The sequence below is a fragment of the Homo sapiens genome, chromosome 22 (genome assembly GCF_000001405.40).
Source record: "Homo sapiens chromosome 22, GRCh38.p14 Primary Assembly".
NCBI classification, from domain to species: domain Eukaryota; kingdom Metazoa; phylum Chordata; class Mammalia; order Primates; family Hominidae; genus Homo; species Homo sapiens.
Genome location: NC_000022.11, coordinates 26052524 through 26080270, shown reverse-complemented (window position 1 = coordinate 26080270; position 27747 = coordinate 26052524). Strand labels below are relative to the sequence as shown.

General features: G+C 43.2%; 1 protein-coding gene across 1 annotated transcript in view, besides 2 other annotated features; it reads right to left on the bottom strand.

Annotated features, from left to right (window-relative positions):
• Positions 12583–13388: an enhancer, noted in NCBI's record as "NANOG-H3K27ac hESC enhancer chr22:26462849-26463654 (GRCh37/hg19 assembly coordinates)". NCBI's record gives its function as "activates a minimal SCP1, AML or CMV promoter by ChIP-STARR-seq in primed H9 embryonic stem cells {active_cell/tissue: H9 hESC(primed)}" and the evidence as "EXISTENCE:reporter gene assay evidence [ECO:0000049][PMID:30033119]".
• Positions 13389–14194: an enhancer, noted in NCBI's record as "NANOG-H3K27ac hESC enhancer chr22:26462043-26462848 (GRCh37/hg19 assembly coordinates)". NCBI's record gives its function as "activates a minimal SCP1, AML or CMV promoter by ChIP-STARR-seq in naive and primed H9 embryonic stem cells {active_cell/tissue: H9 hESC(naive and primed)}" and the evidence as "EXISTENCE:reporter gene assay evidence [ECO:0000049][PMID:30033119]".
• The window catches only part of MYO18B (myosin XVIIIB), a 321660-nt gene continuing 310336 nt past the window's right edge, over positions 16424–27747 (bottom strand). Inside the window, exon 45 of the mRNA XM_011530461.3 lies at positions 16424–23649. The gene's annotated coding sequence lies outside the window, so the exon portion shown is untranslated. The remainder of the gene's footprint in view (positions 23650–27747) is intronic.

Here is a 27747-nt window from a genome sequence, read left to right as displayed (position 1 = left end):
AGGATCTAGAAGCACAAGGGAGGAAGCAAAAAATCAAAGAAGACTTCCTGAGGCTGAATAGGAGTTATACTGTTAGGCAAGGGAGGGCATTCCTGATGAGGAAACAACATCAAGACCGTGCAGTAGGAAAGTCATGGCATGTTCAGAGAGTGGGGAGAAATTTGGGGTGCCTTGAATGTCAACTGAGGAGAGAAGGAAGCATCTAAAGAGAAAAGTCCTATGTTGAGTAGTCCTGGATGCCAGGCTAAGGTGTTTGAACATGGTCTTATGAGGATGATTGTCATTGAGGGTTTCAAGTTGTGAAGGTGACAGGATAGGGCAACTGTTTCAGAACAATCTCATGTCTGACATGGAGATTAGTCTTGGGAAATAGTCATGGAGCTCCCCTTTGGAGAGAATGAAAGTCTAGGATCCCATTCTGGGCAGTGCTGAGGCTCCAGGCGGGAATTCAAAATATGTGTTTATGATCTTTTATTTTTTTCACGATAATAACTATACACAATGTGTTTGGGATGTACTCCATTAACTGGGTGAGTCTGGGAAAATGATTTAATCTCTCTGTGTTGTGGGTACCTTATCTATAAAATGAGCATAATAATATCTCCAAATAATATAAAGAAATTTTATGACAACTAAGTGAATTCATACTTGTGAAGCCATTAGAACTTTGGCAGGCACACAACCCTCAATATTATTGAAAGTTTTATGCTGTCATCATCGTCGTCATAATCATCATCATCATCATCATCATCATCACATTTTTAGGGCACAAAACCAGGCTTTGAAATATATTTAATGATATTGCATCTTTTGACTATCCCTGTGGAGTGGGTAGCACATTTTCCTTCATAGACAGAACAGAGTTTTGAGAGGTTGAGAGAGTTGCCCAATGTCACCGGAATCAATAACAGGCTTGCAATCTCAATTCATATCTTCTTCTGCGTTTTCAGCCATGAACACTTACACCCACTCTCAGGCCAGGACATTGTTCTATGCCCTACCTGGAATGTGAAAGGCCTTGGAAATTATCAACAATTTGAACTCTGCAATATCTCGGTCAGTACCTTGGACAGTGATGGGCATTCTTAAAGAGTTAAGCACTTAAGTCACAGAGCAACATTCCCCTAATGTTCATTCTAGCATAACCACTATCAGCCTTACCACAAATTAAATAGCATCTTCAGGGGGAGTCTGAATGCCTCCTTACTCACTTTATAATTCCGCAAGACATCCCCCCAGTCTACACTCTTCTTGTTTATCTTCAAGGCTAGTTTTTTGTTCTGATCACAGTGGGAAATATGTGCCCAGTTACTGAGCAGTTAATAAAGGCCAAAACTCATTTTCTCAAGAAATAGCGGTAAGATTAAAGCTGCAGAGTATAAGGTATCCTTCATTATTCAGGAAACAGGCATATGCTTGAGGGAGGATGGGGCTGGGAGGAAGATATGAAGGAAAGGGTGAAAATTACAAAACATGTTGGCAAACTCATGGGTTAGACCATTAAGATTACAAATCCAAAAATTCCATCTGATGGATTTCAGGGCCAAAACATGAAGACCAAGAAGAGTGAATCCCTTCAAATAAGCCCAAACAAGCCCTTGTTCTAAATGTCTTAGACTAAGATCAAAGGACCCCAACAAGGTCTTCCAATGACTTAACTCAACCTCTACTGAATCCAGAATTCTCTTCTTTGATGTCCTTCTCAGTGAAACTAAGGAGGATTCACAGATGAACAATATAAATGGAGCAGTCTCTCTCTGTAGCATCTCTTATTAATGTTCAGCATTTGGACTGGTTCTGGCCACCAGGAGGCTGTTTGGATGCTCCTGGTGGTCTGGTGGAGAAAGAACCCAAGCTAGAAGCTGGAGACTTGGGCATGATACCAATTTTGTCTGTTACCTGAGCCAGTTCTCTATCTTTTCTGGGCTTCAGCATCTGTATCTGTCAAATGCAGATAATACCTACCTTGGTTTCTTTGGTGGAGTGTGTGTGTGTGTGTGTGTGTGTGTGTACGTATGTGTGTGTCCACATGTAATCATAGATTGAATGATATAAGCACTTTGAAAAAGTAAACCCAAAAGTGTATAGTTCCCTTGTTTAGCTCTGATCACAGATAACTTAGCAATTATCTGTTTATATGTATTTCTTTCCCAAATGACAATGTGCTTCTTGAAGGTGGGGTCTGTATCTCATTCATCCTTGACTTTTTAGCACCCAAAACAGCTTCTTGTACAGACTGGTCCTCGCTAAATATTTGTGGAACAAGGGACAGGATAACCAAATAGTGTAGAGCACAAGCTCTGCATTAGAAAAGCAGGGTTATGTCTTGACTCTGTCACATCTCAGCAATGTGACCTTGGGCAAATCTTGTAACCTCTGCCATCCCCAGTTTCCCCATCTGTAAAAGGGTGCTGGCCACCTCAATGGGCCATTGGGAGTAGTAAATGAGGACATGAATATAAAACATTTAGGAGAGCTCTTGGTATCTAGTCAGTGGTCAAGAAACCTTAGCTAACATATTTATCTTCTGTATTCTAATTTTTGTGTTGTGAGCCATGAAGGGTGTCATGAAGGAGCTTAACCACTAAGTGAGCGCTCTGTCATTTTTTGTGTGATTATCCCAAATCTATTGCAATCTAACTGCTTTGTCTACCAGTGGATATACAGAAATAGCCATGACAGTCTCCAGGTGCTGTGGAAAGGTGGGCAGATGACAGTTGGCTCTGTTGTTGTTCTGCTTAGCAACCCCATACCAATTGCTTTCCATCTCCCAGCCTTGGTTTCCCTAGGTAAAGAAGTAGCAAGAACTGATTTCTGAACTCATCCCACTGTTTCTAAGCACCTTGAATAATCTCTGTGCTAAAAAGAGGTCATCCTTTCAGAAACCCCTGCAGCTGCTCCCAGGGAGGATGTTGGCGACCCAGTTCAAACCCAGGATGCCTGAAAGACACAGTTCAAAGCTGAAACAGAGACATGCACTCCGCATTTCATTTGAGGACATCTAAGTGGGAGGGCTCTCCTGAATCACACCCTCATCACCCCAGGGAGTCATTTTACCTGAGTAATACATTTTCCTGAACTGGGTACTCGCTCTTTAAAGGAAGTCATCAGTGGCTGTAATTCAACAAGAAGACCATTGGTGCTATACTGAAAAGTAACTAGAATCCATTTTCTTTCGAGAAATAGGATGCCTGCTTAGGGAATTGAGAAAAAAAAAAAAGCGAAGTAGGCTCTTCTTTACCTCCTTCACAAATTAGACAGAGCATGCAAATCTCGAGGCATCAGCAGTACTGGAAACTGGGGTCTCTTTGTATAGCCTCAGCAGGAACTGAGGATATACCAAACGACACTTGAGAGTTTTGGCTCAATTGCGGCTTTGCCGTGAACCAGCTATGTGACTTTGCGCACATCCTTTCCTTTTCCTGAGGCTGGGACTCAGTTGTCTACTCTGACACTGGCTTTTTCTGTCCTAACACAAAAGTAAGTAAGAAGAATTGTCCAGGATGGGTCAAATGCCCCTACTGTGAGTCCAGTACTGATCTGGGTGCTGGAGATGCAATGTAGTTCCTACGTGCCTAGAGCTGATGTCTAAGGAAGCAGAGATATAGAAAAGTAAGTTAGAATAATATTGGCAGCAGGGTTGGAGGAAGCACAGATGCCTTGGGGGAGATGTGGGGAGGGCTGTGTGTGTGTGTGTGTGTGCATGTGTGAATGCATGTATGTGTAAGTGCAGGTGTGTGTGCATATGTGTTCATGTATGTGCTTGCATGTGCATGTATGTATATTTTAAGAGGAGTCAGAGAAGCTTTCCCAGAGGCTGGGTATCTAAACTAAACCATAAAGAAATAGAATTAAAATTATCATTTTTGTGAGCACTTACTATATGATGGGTAAAGAATTATCTCATTTAACTTTTTAAAACATTTTTTGAGGCAGGTAGTATTATCATTATCCTCATCTTAGAGATGAGGAAACTGAGGCCCACACAGGTTAAGTCATTTGCCCAAGGCTGCACAGCTAAGAAGTGGCAAAGTTGGAGTTTGAACTTAGACTCTTAGGCTTCAGAGCCCATGGACTAATCAGCCACCACACTGCCTCTTAGTATGGAGGCTGGTCAGACAAATAGAATGGCAAGAGGGAGCGCTAGCTGGAGAGAACAGTTCATGCAAAGGTCTGCACATGATCTACAGGGTGGTGAGTCTGAGGAGCTGGATGCTGTGTATATTGCCTAGAAGGTAGTGTGTAGGGTGGGTGGAGAGGGTCAAAGAAGCAGTTGGTGGCACCAGATGAGGCCAAAGAGAAAGGTAAAATTTATGCTCATGCCTGCAATCCTAGCACTTTGGGAAGCCAAAGTGGATGGACTGTTTGAGCCCAGGAGTTTGAGACCAGTCTGGGCAATATGGTGCAATGCTGTCTCTACAAAGAATACAAAAAATTAGCTGGGCATGGTGGCGCATGCCTGTAGTTCCAGTTACTCAGGAAGCTGAGGTGGGAGGATCACTTGAGCCTGGGGAGGTCAAGGCTGCAGGGAGCCGAGATTGTGCCACTGCGCTCCAGCCTGGGCAACAGAGGGAGACCCCATCTCAAAGAAAAATCAAAGGTAAAATTTATACTAGGAAATAATAAACCAGAACTTTGTCCTGGGGCAACAAGGAGTTGCTAGAGTTTTCAGCATTGGAGAGCTATCATCAGACTTCTTGTTTCAAACAATCATTCTGGCTACCCTGTTGAGAGTGGAATTTCCCTGCCCAGTGCTGATGGCATGGGACTTTTTCAGGAGACGAAGTGAATTGTCACCACAGAGGAGAGCAGTACTCAACTACCATCATCCCACCCACACTCAGTGTCATCTTCTCTCCATATATGACCCAACAAGCTTCTGTGTCATCATGGTGACAACATCTCACAATGGGTCACACCTGTCACACAGGGGCCCATGAGGGTTTAGCAGGAAAAGAGCCATTGGCTACTTCCTGTTCATTCCTAGTCAAGGTTTGGGAGAGGTATCCATTGAGAAAGAATTGATAATAGTTTGGAGAAAGAATCAAAGGCAATGAGTGGCTACTCAATGAAAGCAACTTCGACATTTGGTTCTGTATGCAAATTGTGCTCCCTGCCAGATTGATTGGTGATAACTACTTTGGAGCTTTAGTTTTCTCATCTGTAAAATGAACTGGTTAAAGAAGGGCAGTATTTTCCAAAGCATATTCCAACTTACTGATTTACAAGATGCTCGGGGGGAAATAATTTTATGACAAAATAAATTTAGGAAAGGCTGCTTACTGTGGCCCCCTTTAGGTGCTTCGTATGATGCTTTGGCACATTAAAGGCTCTGACAAGTTCTGTAGAGAAGACATTTGCTTAATCTACAGACTTTACACTTGACAATGGACTCTGATGTGACATCTCTGAGCATCACATCAAACCAGTGACCTACAGTATCCACACTGGGGAAATGTGAAATAGAGGATGCATAACTGCTTTCCTTGCTCTAGGAGTTTCTAGTTTGAGATAAAGAGCTCCTGGATGGCAGGAATAATACCTCACACAGTGGTGCTGATAAAATATTGCATGAAAGGAAGAAGTTCATGATTGCTTCATGCCTGTGGATAATCTAAAAAGAATCCCTAATCTTTCTATTTTACCAGGTGCTGTATGATGTACCTGGTAATTCTTATAACCATTTATCGATCACATACTATATGCCAGATTTTGAGGGTGCAGATATAAACAAACTAATTCTCTGTTCACCAGCATTTCCCAGCCTCTAGGGGACCTGGCACTAAACAGCAAGTGCCATAACAGAGACCTATGCAGAGAATGGTGGATATTGGGCTTCTTTTGTTTGCCTTTTTACCCTTTTCCACCCTGCTCTGGCCTCCAGACCCTGATCCATATGGACCATGTCAGCAGACTTCCTTGTCTTTTTGCTGCCTGTTGTTTCCAGCCAATGAAAGGCAGCAGCAAGATACTGGAGAGTCAGAGAGAAGTGAGGTTGAGATTTTATTCTCTTGGCTCCCTCCTTGACAGGTCACTACAGTGTGGGTGTGTCCCTTTTTCAAGGCTCCTGCCAGGGAATCTTGTCTATACTTCTAGCCTCTGTGAATGTTATAATTGCTCTTCCTCCCTTTGCAGCTTCAGGACTAGAGGTAGTAACAGCTCTCCAGTATTGCTGGTCCCAGGTGCTGTACTATGCTTTGTCAGTTTCCTTTAACCCTGCCCATTGTAATGCACACTCCATTGTAAACAGTCTCTTAATTAAAGTCTCCTTATGGTGTCTAGTTTGAGTGTGGCATTTGTTCTCAATTGGGACCCTGACTAATGCATGATATGAACATAGAGAGTGGTGTGGTTGATACACAGAGGTGAGGCAGGAAGCTAAACCTCAGGAGAGGAGGGTGATGATTAGTAAAAGTTTCACAGAGGAATAAACATGAGAGCTGCATTTTGAAGGCCAACTAGGAGGTTTCCCATAAGATTTTATATTGATGAGAGATGCACCTGAACAAAGATATAGGGGTAATCAAAGGTAAAATCCACGCCAGGAAATAATAAGTCAGAACTTTGTCCTGGGGCAAGGAGGAGTTGCTAAAGAGGTAAGCTTTACAGCAGTAAACTTTAAGAATAGCTTAAAGTTAAATGATGCTGGCTCTTCCAGAAAATCATTCTCCCATGTCTGAAGCTGGCCATCTTGGAGGATGTGAAGGTAACCTCTGGTCACAAATTCTTCAGGATTCAATGACAAAGATGCTGCAAATAAGCCCTGGTAGCTCTGAGATTGCAAACAAATAGCCTATAGGCAAGATTGGAAATGCAAAGAGTTATATTGGACCCACAAAGATCTTTGAGAAGAAAACTCAAGGCAACACTTACAAATTGAGATAGCGTACTTCAAAACTCTGACTTCTTAAACATGAAGAGAGAAAGAGATAGTCTGGCAACACCATGCTTGCATTCCCACTTGGCAGCAATCAGTTGGAGCTGGGATGCTCTCTCCAAGGCTAGCATAGGTCCTGTAGTTTTCCACAGTCCCCACCACTCCCTATTGACCTGGTCTTTGTACTGTTCTCCGCAAAGCTCTATAAAAATTATCCACTGAACTCTATAATGATTTAGATTGATAACCCTGGATATAGAAGATACAGCCCCATCTATAAATTCTCTACTGTTCCTTTTCCCTCTGCCTGTGCCTTAGTTAAACAAAGAACTTTTCAACACTCTGACATGTCTTTCTCTGGATCAGTGTCTGGGAAAGGCTGGAGCATGTTTTTGCCTCACCACCTTTGTGCAACTTACACACAGCCTTTTTCTTAAGTGGGCAGAAGGTGGGTTTGATCTGCCTCTCATGATCAGAGCTGGCAGGATTTTAAAAGACTTCACCAGAAAAACGCTTGTTCTTTGATATACGATGCCAGCCCCAGAAGGACTCTGGGAGCGTCAAAATCATCCCCCTCATTTTACAGATGGGGAAACAGATGGAGGTAATGGTAGGACTCACACAGGCCCACACAGTGAATAAGGGGTGGAGTGAAAGAGAAGGGAACCAACATTTGGTGGCTCACTACTAGGTGCTTCATAGGGGAGGGTTGTGTTCTTTTCATAATCAATTAGATAGTTCTTAATTCCTTTTTACAAATGAAGTGATGAATGCTTGGAGAAAATGAGTAAGATATCAGAGGTCACATGGTCAAAATAGTGTAATGTTTTTGAACTTAGGGGCCCCAGAGTCAAATAATGGGCATAGGTGCCAATATCAGCTCTGCTACTGACAAAAAAGAAGTCACTGACTCATTCCACTGACTGTTCCTAAAAGAACACTCCAGATTTCTAAGCTCACAGAGCGAAGTTGTCTTGGACACTAAAGGGTTATCATGACAGGGACAGTCTCTCCTCTCTATAATGGAAGCTACCATAGTGTGACATTGAAATGGGACAGCCTAGGTTCATAACCCATCCTTCCATTTACCAGCTTTGCATCCTTGACTAAACCACTTCACCTCTCTGAGCCTTAGTGTTCTAATCCCTAAAATGAGAACAGGATGTCTCTCAATGGAGGGGGGGTGGTTAAGAAGATCAATGCAATAATATTGTAAAGTGCCTTGGAAATCGTAGACTGTGCTTTAAAGATTTGGTCCTGCTTGGGTTGGCGGGGGGTGTGGTTCTCAAGACCATCCACTGATTTACTAGAAGCACTCACAGGACTTAGCATGCAGTTGTACTCATGGCTAAGGCAACACTATAAGGATTCACAATCAACCCAGTAAAGGAAAAGACACAGATAAGGGTCTGGAAGCCATGTGCAGGCTTCCTATGTTCTGTTCCTCCTATGGAAGATCACACAGAACACTGTTTCCAGTAGCAATAATGCAGGAATTCATTTGTAATATTTATAATGCCCAGTGTAGCCAGTTTGAGATTTAGAGTTTAGAGTGGTTTTTAGGGGCTGCTCATATCGATTTTTCTGTCTAGCAACAACCAAAATTCCAGACTCTCAGAAAGAAAGCAGGTGTTCACCATAAATTACATTGTTTCTATAAACAGTCAAGGCACAAAGAATCAACCTTATCAGTTAGGGAATGGAGGAGACATTTTAAAAGCCAAGTTCCCAGATGCCAGCTAAGGAGCAACTTGCAAACAGGCCTTTAAAAGATTACATCCTCAGCCTTGCTGTTTTAATTCTTTTCTGCAAAGACTCCCTTTCGGAACACTTTTGCTCATTCTACAAATCTTTTTGAAGCTTCTATTCAGTTTCTGGGACCACAAGGCTAGATGTAGAGAACAGAAAGTTCTGAACTCAAGAAATGGGCAATCTTTGGAAGAACAAAGAAAAAAACCAAAGCAGTGACAATATAAGACTGTGCAGGACAGGAAACCTGTTGGTTTTTTCTACCTGTGCCCTTTCCCTGTTTCTGGGATAACAGTATCCCCTCCTTCTCTTTGGAGAACTGCACCACCATCCACCCAAGAAATTCTCTGCTAAGACTGTCAATCGCAGATGACCATGGACACTTGCATATAAGCCAAGCCTGGCCAATGACATTCTATTGGCCACCAAGGGACAGAAAGTAGTTGAGACTGTGTCACCCATGGCAATGTCGTAGAGAGACCATTTGCCAACTCCTGCTTTTATGGTCCCTAAAGCTTGACTGGTCCATGCCCTTTCAGAAGCCTGGTGGTTTCTTCCAATAACTCCTTGTTCTGATTCAAATGAGCTAAAGTTGTTTTTTGACATTTAGACCCTAGCTGGAACCTGCAGGAGAAATGTCTTTGCTGGAGAAGAAGAGTATTGTGGGATATGTATCAGGGACAGCTATATCCTAACAAAATGTAAAATGGGAAGGGATGGCACTGAAATTGCAATCACTAAGATGGGCAGGGAGCATATTCTATGTGCAGAGAGTATCATACCCAAAGGCCCAGGAGTGTGAGGGTGCAGAATGAGTTTGAGCAACTGAGAAATTCAGCATCTGAGGTGCTGCCTGGAAGCAGTTGGGGTAGACAGTTTTGGAGATGAGATGGGGTAAGCCAAACCACTGAAACTTGCATGCCACTTGAGGGAGTTTGGATTTTATTTTGCAAGCAAGCATGGAAAGATGCATATTTTGGATAGATTATGCTGACTACAGGGTGGAAGCCTCATGAATGGACATCTGGAGAAAGCCATTATCAAGATCACTTTATCAGAGAACTTTTATGCTCTTATCTGCATTCCTCTTCATCCATTCCAGAATGAGGGAGGGCAAAATCTATCTCCATTTTTACAGATGGGAAAGTAAAGAACCACCTAGAGGGAGACTAGAGCTACAACATGATGAAACGGGGTCTCCACACAATGACTCTTGATCTGGAGGGTTTGTCATTGCCGTGAGTAAACCAGGGTCTCTCCCTGTGTACCCCGAGGCAAGCCAATGGGTCTAAAACTCAAATGATTCATAGGCCTAGCAGGTAACAATAAATGAGCATTTATTTTTATGCATCTCTTTATTTACTGGCCATGTGGGCCAGTAGGGGTGGAGATGGGAATGAACTGCTAGCAAAAAGGGGGAAGTGTGACTAGATATCAAGGGAAGGTGGAAGTCTGAATTTTATGTGAAATGTTCTTATTTTTAAGCGCTGTGCTGGTCAAACTAAAACATTCCCACCTGCAGGCCACAGGTCTTCAGCCCCTACGTTAAATTTCCACCAAGCCCCAGCTAGGGTTGCCAGATTTAGCAAATAAAAATAAGATGTCCAGATAAATTTGAATTTCAGACAAGCAATGAATAATATTTTAGTATAAGTGTCTTAGTCTGTTTGTGTTGCCATAAAGCAATACCTAAGGCTGGGTAATTTATAAAGGAAAGAGATTTATTTGGCTCCTGGCTCTGCAGGCTGTACAAAAAGCATGGCACTGGCATCTGCCTCTGGTAAGGGCCTCAAGCTGCTTCCACTCATGGCAGAAGATAAAGGGGATCCTGCTTGAACAGCAATCCCATGGTGAGAGAGGAGGAAAAAGAAAGAGAGGGGGGATGTGTTAGGCTCTTTTAAACAACCAGCTCTTGCAGGAAATAACGAGCGACAGCTCACACTTACATACCCCACTCCCCCAGAAGTTGTTAATCTGTTCATGAGAGATCAGCCCCTGTGACCTAAACACCTCCAACACTGGGGATCAGATTTCAACATGAGGTTTGGAGGGGTCGAATATCCAAACCAAATATGGCACGGAGCATACTTGTGCTAAAAATTATTTTTTTGGCTTTTTAAATCTAAAATTCAAATTTAACTGGGGTTAGGATTAAGGTTAAGGTTAGCAACCCTATCCCCACAAACCTGCTTTTGCCTTACCCAACACAGAAAAAATAAACTGGCTTCATCTTCACCTCCAGGCTCATCTGGGGCCTGTGCTAATTCTGCACCTTCATCAATAACTCTTGCTGCTCAGCCCACAATTCCCCTTGAGGTCTATCCTGTCACCTTCTCCTATTGCCGTTGATGGATGGGGACCACAGAGGCTTATTAGAGATATCTGGAAGAGCCCCATGCAACTGGGGCTTGGAACATCCACAGCACAACGCCTATGCCATCCAAAATTGACAGCAATGCAATATTGGGCTGAATATTGAATATCTTCTGTCTTTTGATCTTGTAAGAGGGGAGGAAATCCTCCCGACCCTCACAAAGCTAGGAGCTCTGGTTATCTGGTGCTGATTAGAGACTCCGGAACAGCTCGTTGGGATCCGGCTCCCTCAGTTCACAGATAAGACGATAATATGTCGTGCTTACCTGGATGTGTTACTTGGGAGTATCCAAACAGCCAAATGCAAAGTTTTCTTCCTCTGCCCACCAGGTAGACAAGCCCCTGGTTGCAAAGAATCTTTGTAAATGGCTGGGTAATTGGAGGTGTCCTGATTCTCATTCTTTCTTCTAAATGCCCTTCCTGTTTGTCTTTGAATGTCCTGCTGATGAATGGCCCCAATGTCAGGCAGAGATGAGGTGATAGGAGTGGAGTAAGTCCTGTGACTCAGCTTATTTCCTCTGCCAGGCCCAGCGGCTCCAATACCCACTTACCCGTCTTTCCCATGCCTCAAGGGAGAAACTCAAATGTCCCTGTGCCCCTAGGGCAAAAATGACGAAGACTCACCAAACTTCTCTGACACTGGGAATGTTTGCCTCCTCTCCCCAACCTGCTTCTCTGACCATTTGAGTCTTCTATGGTTCAACCCTTTGTTTCTCTCCAAAACTGATTCAACTACTAATGGGCCTCCCTGACACCACCCCCTTCTGCCTTCAATCCAGGCTCAGATGAGCCTGAAGTGGGGAGAATTTGGGGTCAGAACGAGCCAGTTTGGAATCTTGGCCATTCCCTTGGAATGCTGTGTGACTCTAGACAAGTTACTTCACTTTTCTGAGGCTTATTCTCTTCATTTGTGACCCAAGGATACTCATTCCAAGCTCACAGTATTTTAGGAACAATTAAATTTTGTATGTGATACCGGTGGTGGGTAAGACAGGAGGAAACAGTTAAGGTTGCAGAGAATGTTAGCTTTTTGAATACTCCCTGTGTTCCAGACACTGTATCAATTTATAAGTTAATCACTTTGTATAGATTATGAACTATTTAATCCACACATCCTTCCCCATGCAATAGAAATTGTTTTGGGTCTCTATGTTACATAAGAGGAAACAGGCTCACCAGGTTTTTATTGAGCACTTCTTATGTGTTAGGCTCTATACCAGGATCTGACAATGCAATAAATAAAACGGGCACACTCCTCTTGAAGTTTATATTTGGCTGGAGGAGACAGATATTAATAAAATAAAGAGATGCATAAAAATAAAATTACAAATGCATGAGTGCTGTGAGCAAAATATAGAGGGGGCATCACTCCGATTTAACTCAAACTCCTGATTGGGTCCAAGATGTTGATGGAGTTCTTCCCCCAGGAAATGACATTTGAGCTGAGAGTTGAAGGCTGCTGCCTTAGTTTGAGTTCTCCAGAATCTGACCCTGAAACAAAGATTTGAATAAAAGTAGCTGATTCAGGAGATGATCCAGGGAAGCACTTGTAGAGGAGAGAAGAGATGAGACAGGGATAGGAAAGAACCAATAGAAGGTGCATTATCCAGCCAGGAACCATTCTAGGGAACTAGAGTTCCCATCTGGAAAATCTGGGAGGCTCTGTAGAGCATACTGCAGCCTCCAACTCCCGTCACTTAAGGGATGAGAGGGTCAGAGTTGTTCTCTCCTAATTCTCATCGGTCACTGGTTAAGGGATGCTTCCAGAGAGCATTAATCCTGGTGTGCTTTGTGCAAGAGCAGCCAGGGTTCAAGTGCCCAGGAGAAACATTCCAAGGGTGCTGGAAAGGGCTGCTGGCAGTTGATAGTTGGGTGGGCATGCACAGAAATGGTAAGTGCAAGGGGCTGTGGCAGGGCACCAGCAGCGTTCACTGTAGATGTGTAAGTATCAACTGCACACAGATTTGGAGAGATGGGGAAGTCTTCCAAGTAGAAGACACTGCTTTTGCACGGGCCCTAGGTGGGAAGAAGGAACTTGTCCCCCATCTTATTTATAATAAGGAACTTGTCCCCGATCCTGTTTCTAATAAGCAGTAGACCCAGGTTCAAACTGGGGCCCAATTGACTCCAGAGCCTTAATTTCTAAGACTTCCTGTCTCTATTCCAGCAGAGTCCAACAGGATCCAGAGACAGAAACTGTCAGATCACCCGCACGCTGGCTTCCCAAACCACGATTTAATTACAGCACCAGTGCCAGGGGCTTTGAAAGTCCCAGACTAGGTGTTTAAAACACAGGAAGTAAGAAGGATTTTGCTGTGACTCCCTTCCCCTTCAAGGACTGCTCCCGGGGACACATCAAATCCCCAGCCTCCTTTCATCCTCCTTTTGCTTTTCTAGCTCTTTAGCTGTGGACTGTTTTTTTCTCTTCCAGATAATTATTTACACAGAAGGAGAATAATTAGCAGCCCAGGAAACGCCGCTTTGTTCTCAGCTCTCTGCCCCTGCCTGCCTCTCTTGTCTGAAGTGGCGCCTCTGCTGGGAAGAGAGACATCAAAGCCTGCGGAGGAGGCTTTACGCAGAGAGGGATTTTCTTTGTCTGGCTGAAAAGCAAAGAAAGACAATCTTGGCTTGTTTGTCTCTCTACCCCCTGACTGCTGCTGTGTCTCAGGCCTGAGGACCTGCCAGTGGCCCTGCAGAGGTTAGAATAACAGATTGCTTTCCTGGGTGGCTGTTTTCCCTCTTGGGCTCAATCTGTCTCCCTTGACCCTCTTGCCTTTTGGTCTCCTGTTCATGAAGGGTGTGTTCTGCCATCTCAGAAAATATCAGAGGTGAAAGAACATGGCCTCAAAAACACAAACTCAAATGCTTTTGCAGTCAGCAGGTTGTGGGCTGAGTGAGGCAGGCAAGCATAAAATAAGGGGAAGAGGGAGGTGGGGTCTCGGGTGGCTCAGAGAGTACATGCCCCTTCTAAAACCTGTTTGTCATTGCCATGTGGTAATAGGGGCCCAATGTTGCTGACCTCCCAATTTTCCTAAAGAAGTTGGACATCTGAATTTTCTCATGACATTTTATGTATTGTAAAATACTGTGAGGGCTAAATGAAACACCAAAAGAAGGTCTGGATCCATTCCCTGACCACCAATTTGCAATGACTGATCTGTTCCAATTCTATCTTCTTACAGATAAGGGAAACAAGCTCAGACAGGATTAGTAACTTAGCCAAGATCACATGTAGGTGATGAGGTCAGACTGGAATCTGAGCCTTCTAGTATGTTATGGCTGTTCTCATCACTTCACAATCAGCATTATGTTATGCGAGGCACACAAATAGTTATCAACTAAATAATTAATAACAATATTTACTTTATATTGTCACTACTACGTTTTAGCACAGTGCTAGGTGCTATGTAGCCTAGATATATTCATTAGTACTCTTTTGGTTGCAAAGGACAGAAACTCAACTCAAAATATTTAAGCAAACAAAGGATAGATTGGCTGCCACATGCAAAGGTGCATGAGCTTTGGGTCACACTCATCATCAGTTTGCTTTGCTATCCCACATTCTCTCTCCTTTTTTTTTTTTTTTTTTTTTTTTTTTTTAGATGGAGTCTTGCTCTGTCACCCAGCTGGAGTGCAGTGGCGGCGCAATCTCGGCTCACTGCAACCTCTGCCTCAGCCTCCCGAGTAGCTGGGATTACAGGCACGTGCCACCATGTCCGACTATTTTTTTGTATTTGTAGTAGAGTTGGGGTTTCACCATGTTAGCCAGGATGGTCTCAATCTCCTGACCTCGTGATCCACCTGCCTTTGCCTCCCAAAGTGCTGGGATTACAGGTGTGAGCCACCGCACTTGGCCAGGCAGTGGTTCTTAATTGGAGACAATTTTACCCCCAAAGGGATCTTGGCAATGTCTGGAGACATTTTTGGTTGTCCCAGCTTGGGGTTGCAACTAGTATCTAGTACACAGAGGCTAAGGGTGCTGCAAAATATCCAAGAATGTACGAGACAATTCACCACAAAGAATTGTCCAGCCCAAAATGTCAATAATGCTGTGGCTGAGAAACCCTGTTCTAAGCATTTACAACTAAAGAAGCCTCATGGACATTTATTCAAAGCAGGTAGATGGGCCACAGTCCTGCCTCCCTTCAGGACCTTGTCCATTTGCTTACAATAGGGTGGGGCAGGCAGAAGGATCACAGCTAATCCCACCTCTTGGAAAAGGCACTCCACACGCTGGTGGCCAAAGCGGGTTCAAGCTGGTAGGAAAAAGCTGGCCATTCACAGAGTCAGCTCAAGTTCTAGCAAGCATGATCTGTGGGAATCCAAAGTGTCCCACAGGCAGGGCACCGAAGAGATCAGAGAAGGGGGCACCAGGGGAGTCTGTTTCAGTATCCAGCCTCTGTGCTGGGGTCCAGGGCCCAAGAGGACCTGGAAAGACTGAGGCAGAGATAGAGATCCAGGCCAAAGTGTCTGAGAAAAACCAGAGCACAGGTGAGGGCTGAGGGAACAGAGGGCAAAGCGGAGGCCCAAGTGGAAGATCAGATTATGGGCCAGTGCAGACAAATACCCAAAGTCAGCCCCAAGGCATGGGTGCAGCAGAGGCTTAAATATGGCCCATCTGTAGGCAAGCTCGGTCCTTCAGGCTGAGGAGCAAGTGTGGGTGAAGATCAAGTCCTTACAGGTGTAGAAGGGTACAGGCATGCACAGGTTAAACCCAGGCATATCTTGACTAGTAGAAAATCAAGCCAAGACTTTAAGAATGTATTGTATGTGTATATGTCTGTGGATATGTGTGTGTGCATGTTTCCATTTGTGTATGTATGTTTATATGTTTCAGTGTCTGTGCATTTACCAAAAAGCATATGAAGTGGCTCTCAGTCTAAGACACCCCTGACACATAGTGGGTGATCAATAACTGCTTTGCTGAATGACAGTAAAGTGTACTGAGTACAAAGCTATTATTGTCTATAAAGTTCATAAGCTAATGTTTCTCTAGGATCAGCAAACAAAAAAGATGTTTATGCTGACTTGACTATCTCATCTCAACGGTTTGTTAATTCATTCAATTATTGTATTATTTTCTAATCTAAGCACCTGCTTCATGCTCCGTGCTCTGCTCCTACTGAGCATATAGAATAATGAACAAGACAGGCACATTTTTCCTGGAGTTTATGGATGAGTTGGGGAGAAAAACACTAAAGATATGTTAATTGTTTAACTGATGGCCGCTGTCCTTATTAGGGACTGTTAGTTCATCCTAATGGAGTTGGTTGGGTTTGCAAAGAGAGAGAAAATTTACTTATGTCCACCATATTTGAAGGATTGTCTTTAGTATAATGGATCCTCCTCCCCCCACAAAAACTACTCTTTAATGTCTTAAGATGCCATAATAGGCTTTCAGCTAACAAATCAAGAAATAAATGATTAGGAAAAAGAAGAGCTTTAATTGCTATCACACTATTTTTAGTTCTTAACCCTTTATGGTTTGAGCTGGAATCTATAGTCACAGTTTCCCCAGGTGACAACTGGGAAGCCTAATGGTCGAAGGAAAACATAGACATTCCAGCAAAGTGGTGTTTAGTGTTGAGGGGCAAACTTTGGATTTTGGGGTGGAGTTGTTGGGATGGCTGAAAAATGGGAAATAGAGTCAGCTCCATGTTGATCAGAGATGGAAACCAGCTAACCATCCCTGTCTGATGTGCAAAGAGACCTGGACCTGAGTCAGGCATCTCACATTCAAGCCCTGACTGCCCCCTCTGGCTACCTGATATGGGGCACTTTGGGTCATTTTGTATTCTTGGCCACCTGGATGATCTCCTCTGAAGAATGGGGCTAATCACCTTCACCTGTTGAGAGGGTGGTTTGAGCATCACCAAGATTGTTTGTGGAAGCTCTTTTCCAATGTTGAGGGGCGTTCAGCATACGAGGTAATATTTTCATTGTTCTCTTCACGCATCGGGTTCTTCTCATTTCTGCCACTTGTTTACACCTGTATTCTTGGCACTTCTGCCATTCCACATGAGTAATTTCTGAATGAAAACTGCTTCTCAGCTGGAAGGCCTTGGAGTCTCTCATTTATTAATCTGAATATCATTCAAGTCAACATATGTTGTTTTCTAGTTGCACCAAGTAAATCATTCCAGGGCTGGAATCAATGATCTTTGGTGTTGGAACGGTGTAACAGCAGAGAAGATGGAAATTTAGGGCACATGTAGAATCATGGCATAATTTAAGAAGAGGCACAGTGCTGGGTGTCCATTCCCTGAAGGCCCCATCTCATGGGTTCACACAAAACCAAGATCCAGGATGTTGAGACTGCGACCTGGCTTTGGAAAGATGAATTATGGATGGAGGCTACCCTGTGTTCCTGTCCTGCTCCATCTGTCTTCTCCCGTTCAAGCCCTGATTTCTACATGGCCTTTTCTCTTCAGGGGACCTTGAGTGGTTGGGACAGAATACCAAGCACAGGGCTTGGCCTTGGGGATTGCATTCTAAGGATTCAAAGCCAGCAGGGGGATTCTGACCCAAGGCAGCATGGCATGTACTTTGAGCCAGAAGAGGCTGTGTTTTCTCCATCTATTAGCCAGGCATATTTTATTTGTGAGAGACAAAAGGGTGAACTCAACCTACCTTAAGCAAAAATAAAATTATTAATAATAGTAAAATAAAAATGGAATGGTAGGATTTATTAGCTCATGTAACTAGGGAGTCAAAGGAATGGAACCAGTTTCCGACTTGACTGGGTCCAGGGGCTCAGGAAATATTGCCAGGGTTCTGCTTTCTCTCTAGCTGTCAATTCTGTTATGGCTCTTGGCTTGGTTTCTATTCCAATAGCTTCTTCATACCTGATAGCCATTAGACCCCTGGCCCACTATTATTCTAGCAACTCAATACCCCCAGTGAAAGAAAGAACAAGTTCTCCCTGAAATCCTTGTTAGAAAAGTCTCCCTAAGGACTCTGGTTGTCCCAATTTAGATACCTTCCCATCCTCAATCACTGGGGACACAACTGGATGACATCACAACTCTGTTGTTGAAGATGATGGCAGGAAGGTCAGTCCCACCCATACCAGATGGAAAAGGTCTCTGACTCAAGAGAGTTATACTGTCACCAGAAGAAGGGGGTAAGAGAAAGATGGAATCTGGACAGACAGAAACAACAAATATTCATCATATCAAATAATGTTTCATGGATCCTAAGCCCCATGAGATGATCCCCACACAGAGAAGAAAAGTTCCATGCTCAAATTAGTTTTGAAAACACTGCTGTCTCAATTGCCTCTTATTTTAAAGGCTCTGAGAAGTCCTGTATTGAAGAGACCTCTTTTAATTTGTTTAATCCAGTATTTTCTTAAATGTTCTGACCACTGATTTTTTTTGTTTTTCAGCATCAATTTTTAAATCATGGAAAAATGATGGGCTAGGAAGGGCCAAGATTCAAATGTTGACAGCATCAAAGCCAAACAATCTGTGGTAGGAGTGAGGTTGGAGTTATTATTCTAGGCTGGAGTTGGGCAGAGGTGTGTTGGGAGTGTGAGCACTGTGGAAACAAGCAAAGAGCATCAGAAGAATGACCTTTCTCGGTGGTAGATGACCTTTCTCGGTGGTAGATGACCTTTCTTGGTGGTAGATGACGTTTCTCGGCAATAGGGACACAGGAACTGAGAGCTATGATAGTGCCACCTCCCTGGGGTCCCATCTCACTGTGAGCAGCAGAGAGATATTTGAGGATGGAGATGGATATTCATCTGGTGAGGCTAGAGAAGCCCATGATTGTAGCAAGGACTCCTTAGCTAATGAAGCTGTCTGCTCCAACAATTTGGAAGAACACAGCCACCCAGTATTCAAAGCAAAACTCCAACAGCCCCATCAAGGTGGAAAACAGAAAGCAGACCCTAACAGGACTTTGGTGCTATGGCCAGGATTCAGGGTCAGGACCTGGACCTGTCAGGATCCAACCAACAAAACAGAAACAAATCTATGGATTTAAAATCAGGAATTTGATAAAAGAAACTGGTTATACAGGGGATGGAAGGGCTGAGGAATTTACTAACAACCATGGGATATCACAGAGAACAGTACAGCAGGAAGCTCCTACCACCTCCTGGCTGGAGGGTCAAAGGACAGTGTTACTGGAGTCCAGGGTCTGGGGCTCCTCAGCAGAAGCTGGCACTACAGGGGGCCAAGCCAACAGTAGCTGGGGCTACAGAAGGTTCACAGTTGCCACTGGAGATGCTGACTGAATTGTGTGTGTGTGTGTGTGTGTATGTGTGTGCATATGTGGTATGTGTGTATATGTGTGTTCATGTGTGCATATGTGGTGTGTGCATGTGTATGTGTGAATGTATGTGTGTATATGTATGTTTGTGTATATGTGTGTATATGTGTATATGTAAAACTGTGTGTTTGTGTATATATGTATATGTGTATATTGTGTATATGTATATATGTATGCATGTGTTTATGTGCATATATGTGCATATGTGTATATGTATAAATGTATGCATGTTTGTATGTATATGTGTATATGTATATATGTGTGCATGTGTATATGTATGTGTGCATGTGTGTATGTATGTACATATGTGTGTAGTGTGCATGTGTGCGTATGTATAAATGTGTGGATGTGTGTATATGTATATTTGTGTATATGTGTATGTGTGTATACATATCTGTGTGTGTATACGTGTGTATGTGTGTGTTTAATCTTCTCCCTCTTTAGTCTACTGTCAGTATCTGCCATTGCTGAATCCAGACAGAAGCCAGTTGACCCAGGAGCCTCAAACACACCTGTGGGAGACAGCTCCTTTGCAACTTCCTGCATTGCAGAACAGAGCAGGGAAAAGGTCAGGAGGTCATGGACCAGCAGAATCCAGCTTCAAAACACAAGGTTAGGTGGTTTCTCTGATATTTCCTTAAATCAGGGGTTGGTGAACTTTTTCCTATAAAGAGCCAGGTAGTACATACTTTAGGCTCTGTGAGCCATTCAGGGTATTTGGTCTCTGCTGCAGCTACTCAAATCTTCTGTTGTAGTTCAAAGCAGCCATAGACCATATGTAAACAAATTATATGTTCTGATGAAACTATATAAAAACAAGGAGTGAGTAGAATGTGGCCCACAGGCCATAGTTCCCTGGTCCCTGCCCTAGAGAGCTCACTAAAGGACGCTGGGGATGTACGAATGCTTTACTTCTTTCAACAGGAACAGAATCCTGTACTGCACTGATCACAAGGCTAATAAAATAATCATTTAAAAGAAACATTTTTATGCTTAAAGTTGTTTCCCCAGAATTCTGACTAGCAAAGTCTGTCCTCAGCTGTCACAATAATCGACCACATTATTCTCACATGTGTCTTTAGGACATGCCAACACGTTGCAACCTAGTGCCATACACCTTCTCCAGCCTTTCCCAGGACAGCATGCAATTTCTTCTTCCAAGAGCTCCAGGCACAAGGGAAATGTGAACAACAGGGGGTTGATTTTGAATTGTACGTAATTAACCACAAGTCAAGGGCTGATCTCTCATTGCAGAGGCTAATTCTGTCTGTGGAATTGTGAGACTAATTCTATACAATGCATTCTTGGGGTTAGAAGATGGAGTTTGGGAGGCAGTGGCAACATGTTCAAGTGGAAATTGATCCAAAGTGGTGCAGACAGCTGCTTAGCCCAGGAAGACACCGTCCTCTTTCCCAAACTCAGGGCATCCTCAATGGGCACCTGAGCTTCCCTTGCCTATGAAAGGGGCTTGGTTCTAAATTTTGACACATTCCTGACATAGAATTTCTCCCTTGATGAACAACTTCTCTAGAAAACTCTCATTTCTTAGAATTCCAAAGTGGAAATGCTTATCCTGGCATTTGCATAATTCCTCTTTTCCCACCCTGGAGTTGGGCTGTTCTATACTTAATAACTCACACAATCTCCGTCTCATTCACTCCACATTTGGGTCCTCTTCCTTTAGTTCTTTTGACTCCATTTGCTAATGCTTCCAAGATCCATCATCCCAGTAGCCATTGCCTTTGAAGAGGTAAAGTAACAAGCAAGATGACATAGACTTGTTTGGCTGGAAGAGTCTTGACAGAATTTGCTGACCACGTGGCATTCACCACTTCTGGGAGTCAGAAAATGTCCTTGTCCAAGTCTACCTCATAGTGGGAAACAGTCCCAAAGGTTTTGGGAGGGCCTATATTATATTGTCCTTTTCTCCCAATTCTATAACCTTTTCTTTTATCATGGTCACTTATTTTAAAAAGGTGAAGAGGCAAAGAGAAGAGCTATCTTACTCACAAGTGTTGATATGCAACAAATTAATACTTTTAACCTGCTCCTTCCACCCTTAAATCTCAGCTTTGTCCATGTCTTAGTCCATTTAGTGTTGCTATAAAGGAATTCCTGAGGCTGCGTAATTATAAAGAAAAGAGGATTTTTTGACTCATGGTTCTGCAGGCTGTACAAGAAACAGTATCTGCATCTGGTGAGGGCCTCAAGCTGCTTCCACTCATGATGGAAGACAAAGGTGAGTGTATGTGCAGGGATCCCACAGTGAGAGAGGAAGAAAGAGAGAGAGGCAGGGGAGATGCTAGGCTCTTTTTAACAACCAGCGCTTGCAGGAAGTAATGAGTGAGAACTCAGTCATTACCATGAGGACAGCGCAAAGCCATTCATGGGGAATCTGTCTCTTTGACCCTAACACTTCCCATTGGGCCCCACCTCCAGTTTTGGGGATCAAACTCAACATGAAATTTGAGGAGACAAACATTCAAACTATTGCAGTCCCTGAAGCACAGTGGATACCGCATTCTCTCTCAGCTATCAATTTTAGTGTCCCTCCTTGTCAAATTACACTTCCACCTCCACCCTCAGCTTCATGCACTCACACATTTCTCTTGAGTTAATGCCTTCTCCTATTGACTGGCCCTCCAGCAACCACCTTCTCCCACTCACATTCTCATATCCCGTCCCCTCAAGGTGGTCCCTATCCCTACTCTCATCCTGGTTGATCTTGATTTTGTGAGCAGGTTATCAATATCAATTCATGATATTGCCTGTCTCCAAAAATCACTGGCATTAGAAGTTGGTCTGCCCTAGTACTTTGAAATAAATTACTTTGGACTGAAATAATTTTCTGAAAGTGATAGCATTTTTGAAAGCAGACATTCATTTTGTGCTTGTTTTACATCATCTTGAGGACCTTGAACAGTGTTGCATATGGTGTCAATAGTGAATAAGTTTTATCTCATTTGCCAATTCTAATTGATTGGGAGTGCCTGCATGGAGCCACATCCAGGTTCAGCAGGAAAGATTTCCATGATTGATTAGTAATGTCTGCCATGGCTATTTGGTTATAAGGGTGATGACATGCTTGCTACTTATCTGCCCTCCCTCTGATAGGTGTTCAACTATTACTTGCTGAAGCTGAGTGTGACATAAAGAGCTCAGGACCCAGAATTTTAAAAACTAGCATTTAAAATTAGTGTTACTGCTAATTAACTAGGTTGATACTGAGCAAGTTTCTAGCCCTCTGTGGGTCTCCATTATCTTAACTATTAAGGGAAGAGTTGAGACCAAAACAACAATACTTAACCTAAAGCCTCCAACCTTGCAAAAGCTTGTGAAGAAACTGATGGGCATTCCCCCAAATGAGTGTCAATATTTCAAAAAAACTAATAGAAAAACTGTAGCATGGTTAAGAATAACTTTGTAAAGGCAATGTCCTTTTGAAGCTAAATCCAAAAAAAAAAAAAAAAGTGACTTTGCAGTCAGATAAATCTGAGTTTTGAACCTAGTTTGGTAAGTTACAGAACTCCTCTGTGCCTCTGTTTCCTGAACTGTGAAATAAAGACAACTTTATGACAGTCTCATAAGGATTAAGTAAGATAAGCATTGTAAATCCCTCATCTGGGCTTTAGTAAGCACCCAATAAAATCATATTATTATTGATATTATGATTATTTTAGATGAGACAGGCCACTTATCTTTTAGAGGCATCATATTAACTGAGTGATCATTCGTTATATAGATCTGTGGTTATTCTGTGGGAAACATATCCTTTTTTTTTAGATGATCAGAGCAGTTTAGTTTGCTGGCTGCATCCTTTAGAACAAGGGGCCCTAGGGAAAGAGGGGAACATATCAAAGAGTCTTCTGATGTGGAAAAGGCCGGGAACCCAGGGGACGGTTGTCCTCTGAAGCTCTTTCTTATTTTGAACGTCTGCACTCCTCCAAATGCCAGAAATGTGTCTCTACAGGGCTTGGTACACGGGAGGCTTTCCTGATGGGAGGTGAAGCCATTCTGAGATTTTCTGTACTATTCTGTGACTCAGTGTACAGTTCACGTCCCCTGTCGGGCCAATTACCGACTTAAAATGTTGTTAGGAAAAGGCAGGCACGTTCATTATGTAGCAGTGAGCGCTCGGGCCCACTGGTTTTCTATTTATGCTGTTTGAAAAAGCCATTCTTTCCTAGTCCTTTGAATGTGCATGTCACCAAAAGGCTCCCAAATCACAGATTCTTCCCTGGTAGCTGTCCATCTCCCATTTCTCTGCCCATCCATCACCTTCTTCCACTCTGCAGGGGTCGGGCAAGACAGGAATTGCAGGGAACGAAGAGCTGAGTAGGAGTGGATGTTGTTGTTGGCAGAAATGTTACTTCCTGTGAGAAGGAAGAGAACAGAATAAAATGAGGCAGGAATTAATTGATCAAGTTAGATTCTTGTGGCTCAAATTGATGGGAGATCACAGGATGCCATACCTTGGTTAATTTCAATGAAGAACTTGAAACCATCAAATAAACCAACAGGTCTCCTTTGTGGAAGGTAGACAGGACCAGGAGTGAGGATACCTGGGTTCTAGTTAGGGCCCGTTTGACCTTGAGCAGGCCATCAAACCTCTCTAGCTTCCAACCTTTTCTTCTGCAAATTGAAATTGATGGATAAGATTTTCATTATGTTTCCATCCAGCACCTATAATTCATGGATATTTTATTTTATGAACTGAAAGTGGTTGAGAAACTGAGTTCTTTGGAGGGTTCCTATTTTGGCTTTATATAGACCCAGTCTCAGTACTTACAAGAGCTCAACCAGCTACGGCTGAGGATTTCAAAAATTTGAATACACTTTGGATAAATCTATATTTGTTGGAGGACAGAACTTAAAACTTCAGCAACCTGGAATACTATTTATTCATCTGGTCAATTAATCTTTCTTTAAAATTCTGTAATAAATATTTTATTGCAAGAAATACATACATAGGCACTTTTTTTTTTATTAATCCAAGTCTGCTATCAATCAGGAAACAGATTAATGCTTTTGCTTTGCTTTTCCTAAGCAAGCAGAATGAGCTCATCTCAGGCGTAGGATTAGTTCCTCCAGCAGTGTGCAGTCTTTTCTGCATCTTCAAGCCAGTTTGACATCTAAAGTCCTTGCCTCATTAGGTGCCTGCTGTTTAGTAAACCAGTCTTTTACTGTCTCCTACACTGGCTCTCCTAATTTTGTTTTTCTTTATTTTTTCTCTCTCTCTTTTAAAAAAATCACTTGCTCTTAAGTATAGGGCACAAGGTTTCCAGAAGGAAGCTTAGGAAGCCTAGATTTCTTGATAAGGTAAAATACAACTCCTGTCCCTCCTGCCTCTCCTCTTGCCTCATGATAAACCAGAAAGATAAAGAGTTTCAAAGTGGTTTGTTCTCTTTTCAAACACCACTTTCCACGATGGCTTTTCCCCTCCAGTCCAAAGGGAGTTGTTTTCCTTTCTCAAAAGAGAAAGCACCCCCTTTTCAGGGAAGCCATCAGCATCCCAGTATTTACTGATTTAATAATGACAAAGGTCTCCTTAGCAACCTCATTCTCACCGGATTAGAGTAGACAGGCCCTCTTCAATGCTCCAGGTCTTGCAAATCCCAGCCAAGACCAGAACATGGCTCTTTCCAACCTTGGTAAATGGAATATAATGAGGTTATACTTAAAAGCCCGAGATAGATGATAGTTTCTCCCCAAGTAACAAGGGAAGGTTGTCATGCTACAGAGTGGTCCTCTTTAACCAAGGGCTTGGTGGATAGAGGATCATATCAATCCCATCCTTAAATGAACTTAGTGTTTTAAAGAGAAAAAACACCGGGCTCTATACAATGCTTACCTCTCAGCTTTTGGTTGAAGCTGCAGATAATAATAAACAAAAGCTCTCAGTGTGGTGTCTGGCACACAGGAGGCAGTCACTAATGAAGCCTGAGGGGTGTGAACATCTACTAGACTGTGCTGTCTAAGAAGACAGGTGGCCAGTCTGCTTTACTCAGCATCGATGTTTAGCATGCTGTCTGATGCTTGAAAGTTTATGTTGCTTAAATGCACTTTATATCTGGGATCCTCAAGATCCCAGATGAGTTAAAAATCACATCATCACCCTATGTTTCGCAGATGAAAAGTGAGATTCAGAGGCACAGTCTCTGGACTAAGGTTCCACAGTCAGTGGCAGAGCCAGGCTGTGTCCCCAAGTCCCATCGACATTGGTGCCAAAGCTCTAGACCACTCTATTAAACCGTCTCTATAAACAGTAGCTCTTTCTCTGGGCTCTGTGAGGAAAAAATCAAGGCTCAGTTCCTCTCCAGTGCTCTCAGCTCTGTTTATCAACCAACTTGGAAGAAGCAATTGCAATGAGGAGATTCCTCTCAAGGAACATACAGTGTCCTTGTTGCTTTGAAATTTTCTAACTCCACCTCATCCCATGCTCCCTGGAAGTTGCCTACAAATTTGAAGCCTGAATGATCCCAGGTTCAACACAGCTTGTTCTCGTTCACAGAGGAGAGCTCATTTTCTGTTGCTTCTCTGACATATGTTTATCCAAATTAATCATAGTAACAGGGGATTGTACATCTCTGGCATGGGGCTCTGCTGCTTGGGCAGATTTTCTCGGCAGGGAAACTGAGCGGGCACACAGGACTTGCAAAAGGGGTGGGCTCAGAGATAATTTAATTGAGCTCTGGTAAGAAACTGTCAGCCCCTTTCCACAGGGCAAGGATTATGGAATAAGAAGGAGGTAAAAATGCAGAAAGCAAGTGATACAACAGAACTCTGTCCTGGGGCTGCAGGATTTATTCATGGTCCTGGGACTCCTTGCTCTGTGATGCTAAGCAGTGGCCTGGGAAAATAGCAGTCACCCAGACTAGAAACCCCAGAGGCATCCAGGCATCCTCTCTTTTTCTCCGCCTCCACATCCAATTAGTTTCTAGGTCCTTTCATAGCCCTTCCTGTTGGCCCGAGTTCACCCATTATCATCTCTTACCTAGACTTTTTCATCAGTGTTTCCATTGTCCCCCAACCCCTCCCAGTTCTCCTTTCTGTTGCATCATCTCTTTTGCAGCTGGTGTGATTTTTTTAGAAGGGAAATCTACTCAGAACCCATCAAAGATTTCTCACATCTGTATCATAAAACCAAATCTGGAAGCCTGGCATTCAGATTCCTTCATAGCTAGTCCGGGTCTGATTCTGTGGTCTCATCTCTTGGCACCCGGACTCAGTCTCTTGAGCATCAGTAGACTTCCTCAACTCCATGTCACTGGGTCTTGTTTCCTTTACCTACAAATGCACTCCAGCCCTGATCACCCTTATGCAATTCCTAGGAGTTAATGCTTCATTGTTTCCCAAGGGATGCAACCTAGCTCTCTAGGAAAATTTTTAGGCAACTATGAATTTGGGGTTCACTACCAAAGGGCTCAAACATATATTTGAGGACAAATTAAGAACACCCTTGCATTAATATAGATTACAGTAATAAGACGGTGACCAGGATGATAGGGGATTCAAGCATGGGCTTTTGAAATAGACATGGGTGTAAGTTCCAGCACTGGCACCAGCCATGAGGCCAGGAGCAAAAAATGCTGAACCACTTTCCTCTGTTTTTTCCTCTGTAAAATAGGTATAGTAATATTACCTACCTTACTTTTTAATTAGGTAAAACATCTAATGCTGTATCTTTCACAGAAATGTGTTTAACAAGTAGTAGCAGTGATGATGAGGATGGTTGATGATGATGACAGTGATATTAGCATAACCCAAGCACATTTTGGAGTACTACATGGTCCAGTTTTGGAGGAACGTGACATTCAAAGAATCAGTCTAGCAGCCAAAAGGCACTAAAAGGCATTTCCAATATTAATCTTAAAAAGACACCCAATTCGGCCGGGTGTGGTGGCTCACGCCTGTAATCCCAGCCCTTTGGGAGTTCGAGGCGGGTGGATCACGAGGTCAGGAGATTGAGACCATCCCGGCTAACACAGTGAAACCCCATCTCTACTGAAAATACAAAAAAAAAAATTAGCTGGGCGTGGTGGCAGGCGCCTGTAGTCCCAGCTACTCAGGAGGCTGAGGCAGGAGAATGGCATGAACCCGGGAGGCAGAGCTTGCAGTGAGCCGAGATCACGCCACTGCACTCCAGCCTGAGCGACAGAGCGAAACTCCGTCTCAAAAAAAAAAAACCAAAAAAAAAAACCACCCAATTCATAACTCACAACATATGTTTAAAGCCTCCTTTTCCAATACCTCTTATCCTTCCATACAGTAGCAGCTTCAAAGTGATTCCCTTCCTAACCTCTCCACAATTCTCAACACTTAATCAAAAACTCAGCAAGCTGCCAACTTTTCCTCTTCTTTCTTTCTTGTTCTTTTCATCTGTGGACTAAATCTCTCCACTCCCACCCCTTGGTTTCTCACCCCTCATGAGTTTTCCTTTTTGCATAATAAATGTCTGGTGGGGATGATGG